The sequence below is a fragment of the Homo sapiens genome, chromosome 8 (genome assembly GCF_000001405.40).
Source record: "Homo sapiens chromosome 8, GRCh38.p14 Primary Assembly".
In the NCBI taxonomy this organism is placed as follows: Eukaryota; Metazoa; Chordata; class Mammalia; order Primates; family Hominidae; genus Homo; species Homo sapiens.
This window is the reverse complement of record NC_000008.11, coordinates 79,281,735-79,302,702: the sequence shown is the minus strand read 5'-3', so window position 1 is coordinate 79,302,702 and position 20,968 is coordinate 79,281,735. Positions and strand designations below refer to the sequence as shown.

Genomic DNA, 20,968 nt, shown 5'->3' with positions numbered 1-20,968 from the left:
CATATTCTGAGCTCCTGGATCATGAAGGTTCCTAGATGATCCTAAGGGTTATTGCTTTCTAGTAGTGCACATAATGATTCACAAGCTAAGCAGACAGAGACTTTATCACTTGATATCTTAAATAAACAGTTTAAACAGGCTAGACCTAGAGTCATGCATCCTACATTGGTCAAGCATCTAAAGACAATTATTTCTGAACAACCATTAGTATTAAAATTATATTTGGAAGTTAATTAAAGGTAGTTTCCTGGCTGTAGATGTTTATGAGCTATTTTTTTCTTTTACCCTGCAAATCTGTAATATGTGCCTGAAATTAACAATATATTAACTTTTAAATGCATAGACTCATAGTTAAAATTACACAAAAATCCACTTAATGAGCAACTTAAATTCATGAATCTCAGGTACATTTATTTTCTAAGTATATCACTCCTTAGAAGATTTTAGTTTGTTTCTCTTGTATTCAAGTATGTCTTTGAGAAAGAAATTTCAGGCATGTCTTTGACACAGGAATTTTTTCATTGTTATATTCCCCACATCATGTTATGACAGTAGGTAAATGATAGCTGTGATAATTTTAAAGGCTCTTCTCTATCTACTATCATGAATAAATATTGTGCCTTATGTGAGTGAAATTTCTTTTTTTGTTTATGTTTGTTTTGTTTTTAATAAGGAAAGAAAAATTGGTTATGGTATAGGAGATTGAGAAGTAAAAAAAAAAAAAAAAAAGACAATTCTTCTCTCATCCCTCAAAGCTTTCCTTCAATAAGTTCTACTGAGTGCCTGCTATGAACTAAGTAGTAACCTCTGTCCTTACAGTGTTTTCAGATTTATCTGAGGCATAAAATTATAAGTAATTATAAGAGTATGTTTTATAATACATCTGAATTCAATTTTAAAGTGATTACTGATACTAAGTGATATATAGAAAAGTTGAGTTTTCACAGAAGATGGGACTTTGAATTGTGTCTTACGGGCTTTAATTGATCTTAAGGTTTGCACTAAATCTACACATTAATGACCTAAAAATTGGAAGTGACCATAGAGTTCACCCAAGCAAAATTTCCACCCAGTGAATGCCACTCTTAGGAATATCATTGACCATTTAGCCACAGCAAGAATCTTTGTGAAATAGGCATCTAAATTTATGAGGCAGAATTTCTACTTGAATGGAGTTCTAATAGTTAAAATGTTCTTTTATTGAATATAGATTTGCACAGTTGTAACATGTCTTAAATCATGTCCTTTTGAGAAACCTAAACCAAATCTAATCTATCTTTCCAGTAGTTGTACTTCAAAAATATTTGAAAGCTATGTTGATCTATTTCTAAAGCCTAATCTAGAACTTTTACCTGTATATATATATTTTATTATACTTTAAGTTTTAGGGTACATGTGTACAACGTGCAGGTTAGTTACATATGTATACATGTGCCATGTTGGTGTGCTGCACCCAGTAACTCGTCATTTAACATCAGGTATATCTCCTACTGCTATCCCTCCCCGCTCCCCCCGCCCCACAACAGGCCCTGGTGTGTGATGTTCCCCTTCCTGTGTTCTCATTGTTCAATGTGTTCTCATTGTTCAATTCCCACCTATGAGTGAGAACATGCGGTGTTTGGTTTTTTGTCCTTGCGATAGTTTGCTGAGAATGATGGTTTCCAGCTTCATCCATGTCCCTACAAAGGACATGAACTCATCATTTTTTATGGCTGCATGGTATTCCATGGTGTATATGTGCCACATTTTCTTACCTGTATATTTTGTTAATGACTCTCTGAAATTTTAGTGCAAGGAACTTAATATGGTGAGATTATTCTTGTTTTTAACCTGTGTATCTAATTTAGTTCTAGCTGTATAATCTGTTCATTGCCTTCTTATATAATTATGATAGATATTTCTTACTTTTGGGTGTATTCTGGCAGTATAGAATTCCATTTCACATGTATCTCATCTGTATTTTTCTATAAACCCATTAGCTACGACATAATACTTTTCCATATTATTTTTGTGTTGTATAAATGATTTAGGAAGAGGATTAAAGTTTGTATTTAATCCACCTTCAACATAAGCATAGAAAGTGTTCCTTGCATATCAACAAAAGAGAAAAAGATACCAAGGCAAGTTTTTTTTAAAGAGCCATTGTTCAATTTTCTTTGCACTCAGTCTGATTTATTTCAGATGCTGCATAACCTAATTTGCACGACTGGATTAAATAACCTAATGAACCCTGACCCATGTGCTTGGGCATTAAGGATGTCAAGTACCCATTTGTGTTTTGTTTATGTCTTCCTTCCTGTTAAATGTCATCTATATTTGGAATCTTTCCAGTGTTGACTTTAAAAAGGAAGCATAGGTCACTTAAATGAGAGAGCAAGCATACAGGAGATGCAGTAAATCAGACCATTACTGATTATGATTGGATCTTGAACATCTTCCAAAACTACTCTTTGCATTCCTTTCCAATCTCTGTTGGTCTGATTGATTTATGATGAAAATTATGATCTCATGTTACAGTCTTCCTTTGGTTTGTTGCTGGTATACTAGCATTCTGCAATGGCAGTTATTATGGGCAGTAATGAAGATGATTAAATTACTATAACCATTTGCAGAGGAGTTTGGGGTGGGAAACTTTATTTTCTTATAAAAGAATTAGGTCCCATTGGAATCACTAATGCAAACAATGAAAATTCACACGCCACTGACTGCAGTACACTTCTGTGGGCAGCTTTGGTCCCACCTAGTTCTCTCTTCTTTCTTGCTTGTAGTTCTCAACAATCACTATGGAATGTGCTGGGAATGTAACATCCTGAGGTAAGGAGAAGCTGGCCAGAACAGTCAGGGCTGTGTTCCGGTGTCCTCTAGAAACAAAATGTTTTCATTTCTTTATCCCAGAGTGTCCTGTGTTTCCCAGGGTATAAAACCCGGGGCAGGCTGCTTTCTAGGGTCCCTCTGCTGTAGTGCAAGTGAGGCATGTGCAGACATGGCCACCCAAGGCAGCTTTTCTGAGCCTTGGGAGACTGCCTCACAATGAACCTTAGGCTTCTGTTGTCGCTTCCTGTCTATCTGTAAGCAATAAACTCACTTATGTAACTTGTTTTGCGTGTGGGTGTTTGGTGTCACGAGACTTAGACGCCTTGGTAACCAGTGCACAATGAACCTGCTTCATGGCCAATTTTGAGCTATTGGCATTTGCTTTTTAAAAATCCCCCCGAAAGTTCTATAATCATCTTGCTATTAGCCAGTATCACAGGAATGCTACTGATGCACCTTTTTTTTCCAGAGATTTACTTTCCAGAGATTTTTTTTTTAAAAGGATAATGCTATATTTACTTGTTAGAATTACATTTTGTCATATAAGTATTTTTTTTCATAAAAATCTCTTTAATTTTGTTTCCTAGTGAATCTAGCTTGGTGCAGATATGTATCTCTTAAAAACCAAGTTGCGAGTTGCTGCTACATGAAACAGTGTCTCTATTATAGGCAGAACTGGATCATAAAAGTCTACAGTGATGGAGAAAACAAAAACACCTTATAGAATTTGGTGACTGGAAATCCCATAGATTCAGACATAAACAGAGGCTCAAAGCCTCTCTCATGCTTATCATTATGGGAGGACAGGCACATTAAGTGGTGCTTTATGGTTCTCATGCACACTTGGAGAGAGTTCTACAAATTCTATCCTTTTCGTCTTATTGGTACATATTGTCAAAGTACCACCTGAAATGCCTGGAATTCCAGCATAATTCATTTCTTGGATGTTTGTTGTCATTCCAGAAAACCAAGACCACCAATCATATCGCCTTGTTAAAGAACCAGGTTGGGCTTTCCCAACCAGCAGCAGCCATCCCTGTTTAAAGCAAAAGTTAAGTGAAACATCTGTAAAAGCAGTGATACTTATGGTAGAGTTACTGATGATAGCATATTTAGCACCTTAATGGGAAGGGAAACATTGAATATTTTCTTGTGCAGTGAATTTGAGAAAATATTATTCCTTTCAATAATTATCTAGAAGCCAGTAATACCTAGAATGAACAAGAATATATTTTTGCTCTTTCAAAATGTGATTAATATTCACCAAATGTCAGCTATGTATGCATATAATCAGATAAGACATACTCAGAGAATTGCCTTGGAAATTATTTTGTATTATCTGAAAGACAAGTAAAATTTAAAATTCTAAGCATAGCCAGAATAATTATTTGATAGTTATATGTAAATATATTAAAGAAATATGTAAATATGAGATAATATATTACTGAATATTAGCAAGTCATTTTTATTCAGGACATTTGGAGCTTTTGCATATAATGAAGTGTGTTGAGAACATTTCGGCTGAGTTAATAGCATGTCTTTAAAAAATATATGTTAAATATTTCTTTTATGTCACACGCTGGGAATTGTTTTGCAAAATGAATTCAAATCATTAAAATTACTTAAATTTATCTAGGTATTTTAAAACCATCTAGAAATTTATTAAACTATTATAAAGATAATAAAACAGATTCAAAGAGAAGTGTCTAGTTGACCATGATTTTAAATCTGAGGAAACAAGAAAGATAATTTATTACAAGATAAAATTGTTTGAAGTCCTAAAAGGGAATATTTAGGTTTGTTATTAGGTATAAAGATTTGTTCTAGATATCACAATGTTATGATGCCTGCAACTGCAGAAACACTGATACAGCTGAAAACGGCATTTTATCGTTGCTTAAAATTTTCAGAGTATTAGAAGAGATAGTAATAAGTAATACAATGTTACATTCTTTTTTGTTTTATTTAACTATCCGCAGAAGGGATCCACATCACATATTATTTCTATTAGTCCATTCCCATGCTGCTAATAAAGATATACCTGAGACTAGTTAATTTAAAGGGAAACCTGGAAAGAGGTTTAATTGACTCACAATTCAGCAAGGATGGGGAGGCCTCAGGAAATGCACCATCATGGTGGAAGGGGAAGCAAACACATCCTTCTTCATATGTTGGGAGCAAGGAGAGGAGTGAGAGCTCAGCAAAGGGGAAGCCCCTTATAAATTCATCAGATCTTGTGAGAACTGACTCACTGTCATGAGAATAGCATGGGGGAATCCGCCCCCAAGATTCAATTACCTGTCACCGGGTCCCTCCCACCACATGTGGGGACTATGGGAACTATAGTTCAAGATGAGATTGGGGTGGGGACACAGCCAAACCATACCGTTCCACCCCTGGCCCCTTCCAAATCTCATGTCCTCACATTTCAAAACACAATCATGCCTTTCCAACAGTCCCCCAAAGTCTTAGCTCATTCCAGCATTAACCCAAAAGTCCAAGTCCAAAGTCTCATCTGAGACAAGGCAAGTCCCTTCCACCTATAAGCCTGTAATATCAAAAGCAACTTACTTTATAGATACAAGGGAGGTACAAGCATTGTATAAATACACCTGTTCCAAATGGGAGAAATTGTCCAAAACAAAAGGCCCCATGCAAGTCTGAAATACAGTGAGGCAGTCATTAAATCTTAAAGTTCCTAAATAATCTCCTTTGACTCCATGTCTAACATCCAGGTCATGGTGATACAAAGGGTGGGCTCCCACAGCCTTGGGCAGCTCTGCCCCTGTGGCTTTGCAGAGTAACAGCCCCCTCTCAACTGCTTTCACAGGCTGCCATTGAGTGTCTGTGGCTTTCCCAGGTGCATAGTTTAAGCTGTTGGTGGATCCACCATTCTGTGGTCTGAAGGACCACAGCCCTCTTCTCGCAGCTCCACTAGGCAGTGCCCCAGTGGGGAGTCTGTGTGTGGGCTCTGACCCAACATTTTCCTTCTGCACTGTCCTAGCAGAGGTTCTCCATGAGGGCTCTGCCCCTGCAGTAAACTTCTTCCATGGACATCCGGGCATTTTCATACATTCTGTGTAATCTAGGCAGAGGTTCCCAAATCTCAGTGCTTGACTTCTATGCACCTGCAGGCTCAACACCATGTGGAAGCTGCCAAGGCTTGGGATTTGCACCTTGGGAAACCACGGCCCTAGCTGTATCTTGGCCCCTTTTAGCCAAAGCTGGAGTGACTGGGATACAGGGCACCAAGTCCCTAGGCTGCACACAGTAAGGGGGCCCTGGGCCTGGTCCACTAAACCATTTTCTCCTCCTAGCTCTCTGGGCCTGTGATGGGAGGGGGTGCCATGAAGCTTTCTGACATGCCCTGGAGACATTTTCCCCCATTGTCTTAGTGAAAACATTCAGCTCCTCAATACTTATGCAAATTTCTGCAGCAAGCATGAATTTCTCCCCAAGATATGGGTTTTTCTTTTATATCACATCATCAGACCACATATTTTCCAAACTTTTATGCTCTGCTTCATCTTGAATGCTTTACTGCTTACAATTTTTTTTTTCTGCCAGATATCTTAAATAATCTCTGTCAAGTTCAAAGTTCCACAAATCTCTAGGGCAGTGGCAAAATGCCACTAGTCCCTTTGCTAAAGCTAACAAGAGTCACCTTTGCTCCAGTTCCCAACAAGTTCCTCATCTCCATCTGAGACCACTTCAGCTGGACTGCATTGTCCATATCACTATCAGTATTTTGGTCAAAGCCATTCAGCAAGTCTCTAGGAAGTTCCAGACTTTCCCACATCTTCCTGTCTTCTGAGCCCTCCAAGTCTCTGGGAAGTTCCAAACTGTCCTACGTTTTCCTGTCTTCTTCTGAGCCCTCCAAACTGTTCCACATTTTTGAGTATTCTAATAGCAGCACCCATCTCTGCTTGTACCAATTTACTGCATTAGTCTGTTCTCATGCTGCTAATAAATACATACTCAAGACTGGGTAATTTATAAAGGAAAGAGGTTTAATTGACTCACAGTTCAGCAAGGATGGAGAGGCCCCAGGGGAAACAAACATGTCCTTCTTCACATGGTGGCTGCAAGGAGAAGAATGAGAGCTGAGTGAAGGGGGAAGCGTCCTATAAAACCATCAGATCTGATGAGAACTTACTTTCAGGAGGATAGCATGGGGAAAACTGCCGTCATGATTCAATTATCTCCCACTGGATCCCTCCCATGACCCATGGGGATTATGGGAACTATAATTCAAGATGAGATTTGGGTGGGGACACAGCCAAACCATATAAGTATTAAAATTATAATAAATAGTAACTTAATTATACATTTTAAAATTACTAAAAGAATGTAATTGGATTGCTTGTAATACAAAGAATAAATGCTTGAGGGGATGGATACCCCATGCTCCATGAGGTGATTATTTCACATTGCATACTGTATCAAACACCTCTTGTACTCCATAAATATATACAATTACTATGTACCTACAAAAATTAAAAAAATGAAAATAAAATACTAAAAAAATTATTCAAAACTGTGATTTTAAATATTATTTATTGCTTTTCTAGCTAACATATCTATTTATTCATTTATTAATCCAATAAATAGAGTGCTCACTATGTATCAGACCCATTTTAGGCACTGGCCATATAGAAGTGAACAAAACAGGGAGTTTCAGCTCTTAATGTGAACAAAATCAATTAAGTATAAAAATCTTTAGTATAAAACTTGATGTTAAGGCTTCAGGAAACAACATTTTCCTTGAGAAGAATAAAGCGACAGAATGCTTTTATATGTGGCATAGCTGACCTGCAATATTTTAGATCTTTTACTTCATATATATATGTATATATATACATATATATATAGATAATCTAAGCTGAAAATCTGACTCACAATTTCTCGTTTACCTAAAAACTATAGATAAACAGCTAGATAAATAGATTGATAAACAGACTAAATATCCTATATCCATGTTCCTCTAATATTCTCCAGAAGGAGTTCAATAATTTGTTGATGGCCAATAATTAGGAAGGATATTTCAGTATGATGTGTGCTAAAACTAAAATGATTTTTGGCAGAATTGCTTTGGTTACCAGATGGATGAACTAAATGATTCTGTCCAACCAATTATATCACTTAGTTTTACGGGGGTTCGCTGTGAAGCTAATTGATCTTGATAGGTTTCTAAGGATATGTTCAAATGCAAATTGTTATAGAGCTTATTTAAAGTCATGCTGTTATACAGTTAAGCTTTTGATAACTTCCACCCTCAGGAGCTTCTGCTTCTTTGATTTGTTGACATGAAAACTTTGACATTTCTAGTAGGTACTTGCACAACCAGTGGAGTAAATGCATTGCTGCCTTCTGAGGAAGTCCTTTCCCTGCTTTCAGATGTCATTTGTTTTGTGATAATAATAATGGTAATAGGCTGGGCGCAGTGGCTCACACCTGTAATCCCAGCACTTTGGGAGGCCAAGGCGGGCGGATCACGAGGTCAGGCGATCGAGACCATCCTGGCTAACACGGTGAAACCCCGCCTCTACTAAAAATACAAAAAATTAGCCGGGCGTGGTGTCAGGCGCCTGTAGTCCCAGCTACTCGGGAGGCTGAGGCAGGAGAATGGTGTGAACCTGGGAGGCGGAGCTTGCAGTGAGCTGAGATAGCGCCACTGCACTCTGGCCTGGGCGAAAGAGCAAGACTCTGTCTCAAAAAAAAAAAATAATAATGGTAATAACAGCAATAGCTAATATTTATTATTTTTAGATAATCACACTACTAATAATAGCAGTAATAATCCTCATTTGTTGACCTATTCTGCCAGGCTCTATGTTAAATGTTTTATGTGTATTATCTCATTTAATCATCCAACCAACTAAGCAAGGTATTTCCTATTGAAAACTGCAGTGCAAGGAGAGGGTAAGTCACAAAGTTAAGCAGACAGTAAGAAGAAATCAGATTTGGAGCAGATTTAAACAACCTCAAAGCCTTTATCTATAATATCATGTTCAAAATAAATCCTCAACCCTTTTACCTACCCTAGTAGAATCTAAGGTTATATCAATCTTGTTTTAACCACAACCAAAATAATATCTGATGTTATGATTCTTTCCAGCAATCTTTATTTTGAGGAATTGTCACTAGAGGTCCTATAAAAGCACAACTGAATCAGTGGATATATAGACAGGATTACCTAAGAATAGTAATTATATAAATTTAGGATTATTCAGGCTTCATTTTAATATTGAGCCAGAAACATAGAAAAACACATGACTTGATTATTAAGTGGGCCTCATAGAACTAGAAATTATTCTTATTTCTTTTAATGTATGAATTACCAAGTTCCATACAATTTTTGAATTGTATATGTACAATTAGAAGGCTGAGATAAGTAAATGGGGCAGCCAAGTTGAAGGGAAAAAATAAACAGAACAATAATAAAACTAAAACTAATTGTGACACACCTAACATACCATATGATCCTGAGATATGCCTGCAAATTTGACTTAAAACTTCCCTAAAAGGCAAAGAAGAGAGAAAATAGAGTTGTTTACAAGATTTAAAGTTTCCAAAATATGAAAAACTAAGCAGTATTCCAAAGAAGCACAGTGTTTCCAGATTCTGAGATATGAGCAAAATTTCTCCTCCAGGCTCTAGTAAAGAGGACAATGTTCTTGTTAGCATTCTGACCCTAGATTATAAAAGTTTGTTCTTAAATTGCCCTCTAATGTTTAATGAAACAATGCTGCTTAAATTTGGATTTATCTGTTACCCAGTGAACTGCTCAGCTAAAAATTATTCCATAAACAGCGTTTCTTCTTGTCTGGCTTCTGACAAGTTTTGAACTGCAAAGAGTTTAGGGTTGTAGTCTCTGGTAAGGATCTGTAATGCCAGAGTTCTATGTACTAATTAAGAGCAATTCCAGTTGCTTTGATATAGGTTTAAAGTTTGTGTTTTGGAGAAAAAGCCATGATCCTAACCAAGTTGCTCATCCAAATGGATGGCTATAGCCCCCTTGAGTGGAACTAGGTTAAGATAAGTAAAAGGATAGAAAAGTTATAGAAACATGTTATGTGAACCTGGGTTGAAAATCTGGTTGAATATTAGTTATGTGAGACTTTAGGCAAGTTATTACGCTTTCTGAGGATATCGGTTGCCTTCCTGAAAATTGGAGACAATGGTAATTATTTCATATGGCTGTAATGAAGAGTAAGGAGATATGGCAAAGACAGAACTGTGTGTACTATGCCAGTATTCTTTTACAGAGAATTTTTTGAAGTTATAACTCTTCCTTGTTACTCATACTTTACCACTTGGTTCTTGGTGTTATTGTATCTGCTGTATCAAATCAAAGTTAGATATAGGTTGTCATGAATAAATAACCATATACACATTCATATCAATGTCTTGCTTAAGGCTATGTGAATTGGGAAGTAGAGGTATTATCCAGTGTACTTGATCAGTGGAAGCAGATGTGCTAACACGTGTGTGTGTGTGTATGAAAAAGAGAGAAAGGAATTCACATGCAGGTATCCAATTACTCTTAGATAGAAAACCTGAAGTGAGGAAACAACGTATGTGTCTGGGTGGCTCTGAGTGCCCTGCTGCAGCTGTGTCACTCCCCGGGTGGATCCTGGACATACTGCTTGCCTCTTGGAGAACCCCTGCAATTGGTATGCCTATATCAACATGGTGCTGAAATATTAGATTAGAAGTGACCAAGGGAGATGCCTGGGGAATGATCCTGTCCTGGTTATCTATCATTATGTAACAAGACAGAAGAGTGAAGGGCTGTGCCTGCAACTGGGACAGTATAACTCCCACAAAATTCTATTGGTCAAAGGTATCACCAATTGTCACCTTGTCACCCAGTTGTTTCCAAAGGTACAAAAAGTACAGAGAGAGTAGGATAGCTTCTGAGAAGAAGCTGAACATGAGAGAATTTGAGTTGAAGTCTGGCTTTTACATTAAAGGTGAAGGTTAAAAGGCAGTGTTGATTTTGAAATCAGGAATTTGCTACTTCAGGCAGTCAGTCACCTGGTTGGTGAGACTGTACACCAGGGAATGGGGTAAGTGACTAGAAAGCTGCCACATGCTGGTGGTGGCTCCTCTGTCTGAGCAGACTGTGAAGGGAAGAAATGCCTTCCCCATTCTGAGCCAGGCCATGGTAGGGTGACCTCTGATGTGTGGGCCCTGGTGCCAGCTGTAGGTAGTAGATTGGGGGAGACACATGTCTGTGATCATGACAGAAGAAAAGAGCCAAATTGCTAAACTGTCACAACCCTGTATTGGTTTCCTATTGCTACCATAACAAATTATCACAAAATTTTTAGGGGCCTAAAACAATACAATTTTATTATGTTACAGTTCTGTAGGTCAGAAGGCAAACACAGGTCTCACTGGGCGACACTCAAGATGTCAGCAGGGCTGCGTTCCCTTCTGGAGGTACTAGGGAAGAATCTTAGGGAGAATCTGTTTTTTTTTTTTTTTTTTTTTTTTTTTATCTTTTCTAGCTTCTTGCGATACTTTCATACTTTGGTTCATGGCCTCCCCGAGTCTTCAAAGACAGTGACGTTGCATGTCTCTTATACTTCCTTTGACTCTGACTTCAGCTGCAAAAGGTTGTCCACATCCAAGGGTTTGTGTGATTAGATGGGTCCTGAATAATCTCCTCATTTCAAGGTCCTTAACTTTAACCACACTGCAAAGTTGCATTTCCTTATAAAGTAACTTATTCTTGGGTTCCAGGGTTAGGATACAGACATATTTGGGACACAGGCATCTGCTTACCACAAACCCTTCAGAGATGAAGAAACCTTATTTTAGACTTTTTCTTCCTGCTTCTCCACTCCAACTCCATCCTTGCCTGTTAATATATTTCTGTGGTGCTAAGTTTCACCATTACTAGTGGCCAAAGTAGTAGCAAATTTTATGCATGGCTAAGGTGTGGCCAATGGTTCTCAATACTGGCATCAAGGGAGATGTGAAAGGTAATTCACATGTCCCTGGTGGGCAGAAAGGATGATCAAAACGGATCCTCAGGCATTTGTGAGCACTCCAGAGAACTAGGAAGTATTTGAAGAAGAGATTCTGGGGGAAAGACTTGGCTTTCTTGCATGAGTATTTGGAGCATCAGAAAGAACAAAATTTGGGAGATTAATTTAAATTTGAACTAATTCTCAAAAGTTGTGAAGCTTGGAACATACCAGTTTTAGTTGAATAAATGCATTGTTCTTTGCTGTAGCTGCTTTTTATGCTACACTGAAATGACTGACTTGCTATTTACAAGAATAAACACCAGAGACACACAAATGCACACACACAGTCACACACATACACACACACAGAGGAATAGAGAAAACCATTTCTAAAATGAAACCTCCGTGGAGTTACTAGATTTAACTTCATTTTTTATTTCCCAGGAGGGAATCTGCAATAGTCTATTAACAGTATCCCCTAGCATATAACATTCTGCAGATGTTCTCTTAATGCTGATTTTTTTCCACACCCAAACATGTTATCAATTATCTGTATTTTCATTTTGGGAGGCTCGACCCAGAAAGACCGTTAACTGTAGTGCTGTTGTAGCATTTCTTCCTATTGTCATCAAGGTTGTAGTAATTTTCACATAAATCGTTTTGAAAAATTTAATGAAAGCATTTTTCTTGTGGAGTTTATTAAAACTCAGTATCTATCCTGAAACAAGGTATACTGGTATTGCACACCCATATATCTTTGACCTGTGAAATTCTTAAAATCGGGATAATGAAAACAGTAACAGCGGGACCAATCAAAATGCAAAAGTGGGGAGAGCAAATGGCAGGAAAGAGAAGAAAATGATATGCATGTTTCTCACATTCTGTGAGAAAGCACTGATTAGCAGCAGGTCTCAACTCCGTAAGAGAATCCATTTTCTAAATTGTTTTGGGGAGCTCTGTTTTGAGCACCAAGTGAAACAGCAAATTAAAAAGAGACTTTCATTTTTGGAAATGCAAAGAAACAAAGCATTTTATAAGTTTGAAATGATCTTGTGTTATTTTCTTTTGTTTCAGTTTTGGCAGGATTTTTGCCTGTGCTAATTTGACATACCCTCCTTAGATATGAACATATGTTAGAGAGAAAAGGAAGAGACTTGATTAAATACTTCATCTGTTCAATGAACCTTTCCTAAATGTGTAGTTGCTCAAATTTTTAAGAGATATTAATTCAATATATGTTTTGGATTTAAATGTTATGCCTGATCAATAAAACAGGCTGTATTCTCCTGTCCTGATGAGCTTGAGTGTGACTCATGTTTATCTTGGTCTGTATCCATTTGCATCCAAGAAATATTAGTCTTATTCGTCTTTTATGAGAGAACTCTTGGCAACAGGGGAGAAGGATACTGGATAATGATTGGTCACCAAAGTATTTCAACAGTTTGCTTCTTGATATAAAAATAAATAGGCTAAATTGACAAGTTTATATGTATCTTATGGTGGCAAGACACCCAGATCCCTGAAGACATCATCCTTCCTTTCAAGAAAGGCCTGGGACAAACTTGAGGAGAAGGTTGGAGGCTCTGTTTTTGGTTGATTTCCTCTTCAAAGACACCAACCTCTATGGACACCAGTGATTCATTCATTATATTACAGTAGGTAGCTAGTCAGGCAACCGAGCAGGGCAGGAGAGGGCTCCCCACGACACACACACCACACACACCAGGAGTGTTGGGAGACCATCAGGTGATGCTCAGGCTGTTGTGAACTGTCTTTCAAAAGTAATAATTGGTCACAGCTGGTGCCAGGGAAAGGCAGTCCCCTAATAGATAGAAAACACCTGAAACTGGTGATCATCAGCTTTCCTATAAGATCGCAGGAGCTGAGCAAGCAGGGAGAGGTAATATAAGCCGGAAGTACGCCAACGTGTAAAACCCCAAGTCAAAAGGTTAAAGCTCGCATTTGATCTCTCAAATTGCCCCGTGGCCCTCTTCTAAGTGTACTTTACATTCGTTCGTTCCTGTTCTAAAGCTTTTAAATAAGTTTTCACTGCTCTAAAACTTGCCTCAGTCTCACTCTATCTTAATGCCCCTCAGCTGAATCGTTTCTTCTGCGGAGGCAAGAATTGAGTTTGCTTCAGACCTGGACAGAACCACTGCCGCTAACATATTTCGGTGCCCTGTGACTCGGAAATGTTCCACCGGTAATATACTTTGGTGCTGCATGTGACTCGGTAGTAAGAGACCTCTATGCCTTGCCTTCTTTGGCTGGAGGTGTTCAACCCCTGTACATGGCTTTCTTCTCCCCTTTCACTCTCCTGTTCACTATCCAGCCCCCAGAACAATTCTTCTCGGGGATAAGTGACTCTGCTCCTTCGGCGGATCTTCAGCTCACCCTGAATGGGCTCGCGGGGTCTGGAAGGACTGTGGGGTCTGCACCGAGTGGTACTGAGGCATTAATGGCCCTCTTAGGAGGCTTGCCAGGGTGGTAGGGCTAAAGCCTAAAACCCTAAAACCGTGCAATGTCTGGGGTTTTCTCTGCATTTTTCAACTAAAATCGGCTCTTTCCCAAGAACCTGCACTGCCTATTCTGTTTTCTGTGTGTGTGTTCTGAAATAGCCTTGCGCACCAGCCAGACTGTCTGACTCAGAGGGCAAGTCGGCCTTTTCTTTGGTTTCATATGGCATGCTGCGTGACTTCCTTCTCTGCCTTAAAAACACACACTCCCTGTTATTCATGAGCCTGCAGCTCTTAATTGCATTGTGTGACAGCAAAGACTCAGGCTCCCTTGCAGATATCCCCCGAGATTTATACTTGTTCTTACCCTACCAGCTCGGATGACCTGCAACCCTCCCCCTGTCTCCTGGCACATTGCTGGGACAGACATTAATTAAAACTCCGGCTCTGCCAGATCCTTATGACTTATCATATGCTTTTCATTCCTGTTATGCCCTAGGGCCGAGTTTTCTGGTGGCTTTTGAAGCAGTTTGTCCAGCTGCGTAAGACCTCACTCTGGCCTTCTAAGGATCCCACCTACTTGCCTTTTTTGAGTTAGCACCCCTTTTGGATGAGGGGAAATTATTTGTTTTCCATTTGTGAGTTCTTACCCCAAGCCCCAAATCCTCCAGAGGTTAGTAGTTTATGTCAAGAGGGCAAATAAGTCTCCTCTCGAATCCTAGGGCTGCTGTTTTTGCGAGCATATGAAGGCTTTCCATGAGTATTCCTCTCACCTTCTCCCACCTCTTCGTGTAGCCTCTCTTTCCCTTCTCAACATGCATCAAGACCTTCAAGGTCATATTTGAAGGGAGGGAAGTCTAGCCCCCTTGGGGCCGTTAGCTGAAAAACAGGCTTCTCATAAAGAACAGGGTAAACAGGAAGCTAAGAAAAGAGATAATTATTTTGTTGCTAGAATGCTCTGAGTGAGAGTCACTATAAGGTCATGGAAACAAGGATATAGGTGAGCCTAAGGCTGCAGGTGCAAGAGACCCATAGGACAGAGATGAAGGGTGGTCCCAGGCTAACAGACCACACCATCAGAACAGAGATGAAAGGTTAGGAATACACAGTAAGATTGGTTAATTCCAGAACCCCAAGGATGAACAGGGGGCCCACTGTTCACTCCAGCATCTCCCCTGTTCTCAAGTGGGTAATTGTGATGAGATGGGACCAAGGGTAAATGGTAAGACAAGTTCATCCCAGAACCCAATGGATGATGGGGGTTGCCCCAACTCAGGGTAATAGGAAAATAGAGGGAACACTCTTACCTTTTTTCCTCTCTTCTCTCTTTGTAAATGGATAATCGTGTCTCCACACCATAGGATATGCCCCTCAGAAGCATCCCTCAAAACTGGGAAAAGTTTGATTCCCTCAAACCTTAAGAAAAAAAAAAACACTTAGTTTTCATTTATAATACTGTTTGACCTAAAAATGAACTTGAAGAAAATTACAAAAGTCAGCTTTGCAACCCAGTGCCCCTGCACAGGAGGTCTTCAGATTAGCCTCCTCAGTATTTTATAACTGAGATCAGAATAAGGAGGGTAAGACTAAGAAAAAGGAGAAATGCATGAATAAGAGGCAGGTTCAATTATTGGCTGCTTTAGAAACTCTCCAGCACCCTCCAGGTGGCCCTAAGGACACTCCTCCATGTAACTGCCATTGGTGTGGGAAACCAGGCCACCAGAAGGCAAATTGTTCCAATGGGATAAATGGGAAAAAGTCCCGAATGGCTTGCCCCCTCTGCCACAAGCTTGGCTTCTGAAAATGGGACTGCCCTGAGGGCCTAAGTTTCCCAGGGACAAAATCCCAATCCCTGATAGCCTTGAACTGAAGGACTCTCTGCTCTGGCTGACTTCTAAATCAGACACTGTCGTCAATAAGACAAAGCTAAGGGAAACTCCGGATGCAGCAAGTAAAATTATAAATTTCCCTTCTGGGTTGAAAAGCTGCCTACTCTGTGCTTGTCTCCTTCTCTGAGCAACTCTCCTCCAAATCCTATTGGGTAATCAGGGCAAATGGCATCCCCTCCCTCCAAAAGAAAAAATTCACACCCCTTTATATTACTTAAGGGACCAAAAAGATTCACACCCCTTTATATTACTTAAGGGACAAATTACCATTTCCCCACCAGTCCTTGGTAATGTCTAAATACCCCACACCTCTTTGTGACACAAATATATTTTCCAAGATAGGTGCTCGCTTAATGTTTACCCAACCTCTGAAGTCATCTTTCTCTATAATAGCCTTATTTCTCCTGGGAAAGCTACCTAAATCTTTAACCAATAACTTCAACTTGGTCAGTCCTACCTCAGGGGTTTAGAAATAGCCAACATTTATTTGGATAGCCTTAGTAAAAATCCAACCAAGCAATCTCTTGAGGGGGTATAAACTTCTACAGTCTGTAGATAACCTTCATATCTGCTCCCCCTTCACAGGCTGCAGTTTAGGCTAACCCTGCTTATTCCTGTAAACCAACAAGGGACCTCTGCAGTTCAGAAGAAACAAGAGGGATCGGCCATCAAGCTCCAGATGATCCTCAGTGAGGGATACTGTCCTCTCAATATTCAAGAGTCACCCTTCTACAGAAGATCCCTAGACTTCCCATCAGTGGGACATGACAGAGGTAAAATTCTGCCCCTGTCTATCTTGGACCTGTCTGGATACTGCTTTCACCAACCCATAGAGCCAACCCCACCCTGACAACTAGCAAGAGGCCAAGACCCACAGAACAACCACCACTGCCCTTCTATCAGCAGGAAGCAGAAGAGTGACCTTCACCCATTTTCCCCAAAAATTGGGGTCTTGGACTCTTGAGGGGGTGATGTTACAGTAGATAGTTAGTCATGGCATAAACAAGGCAGGAGAGGGCTCCCCCTAACACACATCAGGAGTGTCAGATGACTGCCAGGGGATGGTCTGGGTGTTGTTAACTGTCTCTCTAAAGTAACAATTGGTCACAGCCAATGCCAGAGAAAGGCCATATCCTAATAGACAGAAAACACCTGAACTGGTGATCAGCCACCTTAGGAGTTGGGTGAGTGGTGGGAGAAGTAACGCAAGACCCCAGAAGTATGCCAACATATAAAATTCCAAGTCAAAATGTCAAACAATGCACTTGATCTCTCAAGTCACCCGCTTCGCCCTCTTCCAAGAGTACTTTACTTCCATTTGTTCCTGTTCCAAAGCTTTTTATAAAATTTCACTCCTGCTCTGAAATTTCCCTCGGTCTTTCCTTCTGCCTTATGCCCCTCAGCTGAATTTATTTATCTTGAGGAGGCAAGAATTGAGTTTGATACAGACCTGTACAGATTCACTTCTGCTAACAATTACACTTTGCAAAACATGCAAACACTTAAACTTTGCAAAACATGCAGTATTAGTTACTTGGTCCTGATCCAGATACTGATTTTCATTTCACCTTCCATTTCAACTTTTTATCAGGCTGGAGCCCTCTGCTTTAGAAGACAATTTGACCAAACAATTGACGTCTTCCCAGAAAAAGATGTAACACTTAAGTCCTTATCAATACAAATGGGCTTTTAATTCCTAGCTATTGGCCATTTGACAAGAAGTAGACTAGATATGTTCAGCCTTGTTGCTTGCTCTAGAAGCAATAATTCAGGCTTTGAACCAACAGACCAGAGCTTTTGGCCTTGAGTAATAAGACTAAATGTTGTATATTGAGGGCCTGATCCATGACTCTTATTTGTGACTTCTCATATTGTATCTTATTTAATAATCTTCATGATAACCCTTGGAGATATATTTTTTATCATCCCTATTTTACAGATAAAGGAAATGAAGCTCATACAGGTTAAGCCAATTGTTCACACCACAACTGAATGGCAGGGACAGATCTCAATCTGAAAGTGTCTGACTCCAAAGCCTATGACCATTCTATCTTACGCATTATTTTTCGAAGTAGCTGGGCATCATGTAGCATGGCTGGGAACACATGAACTTTTGTTCTGGTTTCAAATATTTTGTCTCATTAGCCATTCCCAGGAATCTACATATAATGTGTCAACAGACAGTGAGGAAATGCTGCAGAAACTCAAGTGTTGTCTAGTAGCTTCAGCCCGCCAACACATTTTACCACAGGTGGGAAATTTAGGACAACAAAACTTCACCTGGCTTCTCATCTTCACAGTTCTCAGTCAATGTCTGAGAGATAAGCCACCTTAGACCTTTACCCATCCTCCTTCCATACATTCTACTCTGTCCTCTTTTTCCCAGCCCTTCCCAATAGTGGTCTCTTCTGCCTTCTCTGAATATTATGTTTCATCTCTAATAAATTCTCCTAAATTCTTTGCCTCTTCTAGAATTCTTTCTCCCTTCTCTGATGAAGTAAAACATATTTATCTTCCCAAATAATTGATGTCATTCCATATGCCTAAATAAGACCGTTCTTTATCCCATGTGCCACGATCCAGAGTTTGGAGGCACCGTGCACATTTTCTAAGGTCCTGTTGCTGCTTCAAACTCTTATCCTTGCATCCTCTTACAAAACATCTTCCTCCCAAGATGCTCACTCCTTCCAGCTTTGCCAGCCTTCCTCTTGGTGCCATCATTCATCTGTAGACATTGTGGACTCTGTGGACATTGGCCTCTAACTCATGGTCCTCCTGAGCTCAAGTCTCCATTTTGAGAAATTTCAGTATCTGTAATGGCAACCTAACAATTTCGTTAACTCCATAAAACTTCACTTTTACTTCACATAATTTACTGACCACTAAAGTTGTACCTGAACTTTTAGTATCATCTAGCATTTCTCCATGTCTGAAATTTTAAATTCTTATGTTCTACTCACTGATCTCACTCAACTTCTTATGCTTTCCAAACTCATGGGGATTTTTCAGGCTGTAAGGGTCCCCATCCCCTTCTCTGCCGCCTCATCAAATGTATCATTTCTATTTTAGAGTCATTTAATGCCATACCATTATGGTCCAGCACTTAATAATTTATCCTGAATCTCAACAACTTGCTCTTTCTTGCTCTGTGAATCTTTTAAAATCCTCCATTTAACTACTAAATACTGTTTGAGAAGATCACACAATCATGTGAGTTTATGCCATTTCTAGTTTGTGACTTCTCATATCAGTTGAGCCCTTCATACTGGTTAATTCTTTTTTCTTGTACATGGTCACATCTTTTTCCAACTCCTATCTTATTTTTCCCACTGAGTGCTGCCTCCTTGAAACTCTTTCCTCCTTACCTTTGTTCACACCACAATTTCCTAATTTTTGTTTTATCCCTATGATCATCCTAAGCTAAAACTTGAAAATCATGTCTGTTTCTTCTCTGTCACCACTCTACAAATCAAAATGTTTGTAGCTTCTGCAAATCTTTCAGATATGTCTTTTCATTATCGCTTGCTGTGATAGAAAAAAAGGCTTGAATTTTTGAATCCTGGATCTGCTACTTTTTAGTTGTATGATTGTGATCAAGTTATTCAACCTTATTTTTCTTATCTGTAAAATGAAACAAATAATAGCAACAAAAATAATGATGATGAGGGTGATACCTATTTTATAGGGTTGTCATAATAAAAACCTAGGTCTGTCTGCTGCTAAGTCTGGGATTTTCATACCCTGCCTTAGCATCTGGTAATTAGGGTTTCTTCCAAAGCATAGTAGTACTACCCCAAAAAGATCCCCTGGCCAGAATTGGGATGACATGAGCTGCATCTGCTGTGTCTAACTAATCATATTCTCTGTTTCACTCCAATGTTTTCCAATTGGTTTTGATACCAGATTACAGCAAATAATGGATTTATAAGGTCAAATATTTTAAAAGACAAAAACATTAAAATACAAAAATAATTCACTTATAGTCTCACTGATGTTCTTGGTGCAGAAAAAAAACTACAATTTTTAAAATGATATAATAGTTAACATTTTTTGAGTGCCCAGTATAAGACCCGTATTGGGCATATTGGGTGGGCACTTGACCCACATCATCTAGTTTATCTTTCAGAGTTGTTGAATTTAGGTGTGCAGGCTCTCCATTCTACAAGGCCACCCCATCTAAAGAAACTATTCTTGTCGGAGGCATCATAAACATATGTATTTATTGTGACAAATTTTGATCTGATGACTGTACAGTGGCTTACATTAATAAAATCCAAATATTTCAGATATCTGAGATGAATATAGACTGTGCCGAAGAGAGGATGTCATTTTCTGGTAGTACAAATGCACTGCAGGGCCTCCTTATTATCATAGTCTTCATCATCATCTTCATCTTGATTGTTTCTTTTTTTGTTGTCCCGCTTTCACAGGTGAGAAACCTGAGATTCGTGGAAGTTAAAAGACTTGTGCAGCATCCACAGCTAGTAAGTGGTAGAATTGTCTGTTGGAATCTCAGCACTACACAACCCTGCACATCTTGCATGGCCCTTGGTTCTGTGCTCAGCACGTAGCAGTTGCTCGAGTGATACCAAAATGAGAGGAGCCAAGACGTTGAGTAGAACAAATTTTTTAAAATGACAAAAACTATCAGAATGTTGAATAAGGAGACTTTGGTAATAGGCAAAAATCAGAGTTTCTGTGATTCTGATTCCATTTATTTTACCCGTGTCCACCTATCTCTAGGTTAATGGTAATAATATAAGATATAAAAATCTTCTTTTAAAAAGAAATTAAACTCCAGAAAAGCCACAACACATTAACTTTGTGA

General features: G+C 39.1%; 1 long non-coding RNA gene across 1 annotated transcript; it reads left to right on the top strand.

Moving 5' to 3' along the window:
• Positions 1-13,891: 13,891 nt before the first annotated feature.
• LOC105375915 (uncharacterized) lies at positions 13,892-20,624 on the top strand. Its single transcript, XR_929080.2, has 3 exons — positions 13,892-13,998; positions 16,726-16,913; positions 20,571-20,624. It is a non-coding gene; the product is annotated as an uncharacterized LOC105375915 (long non-coding RNA).
• Positions 20,625-20,968: the final 344 nt, after the last annotated feature.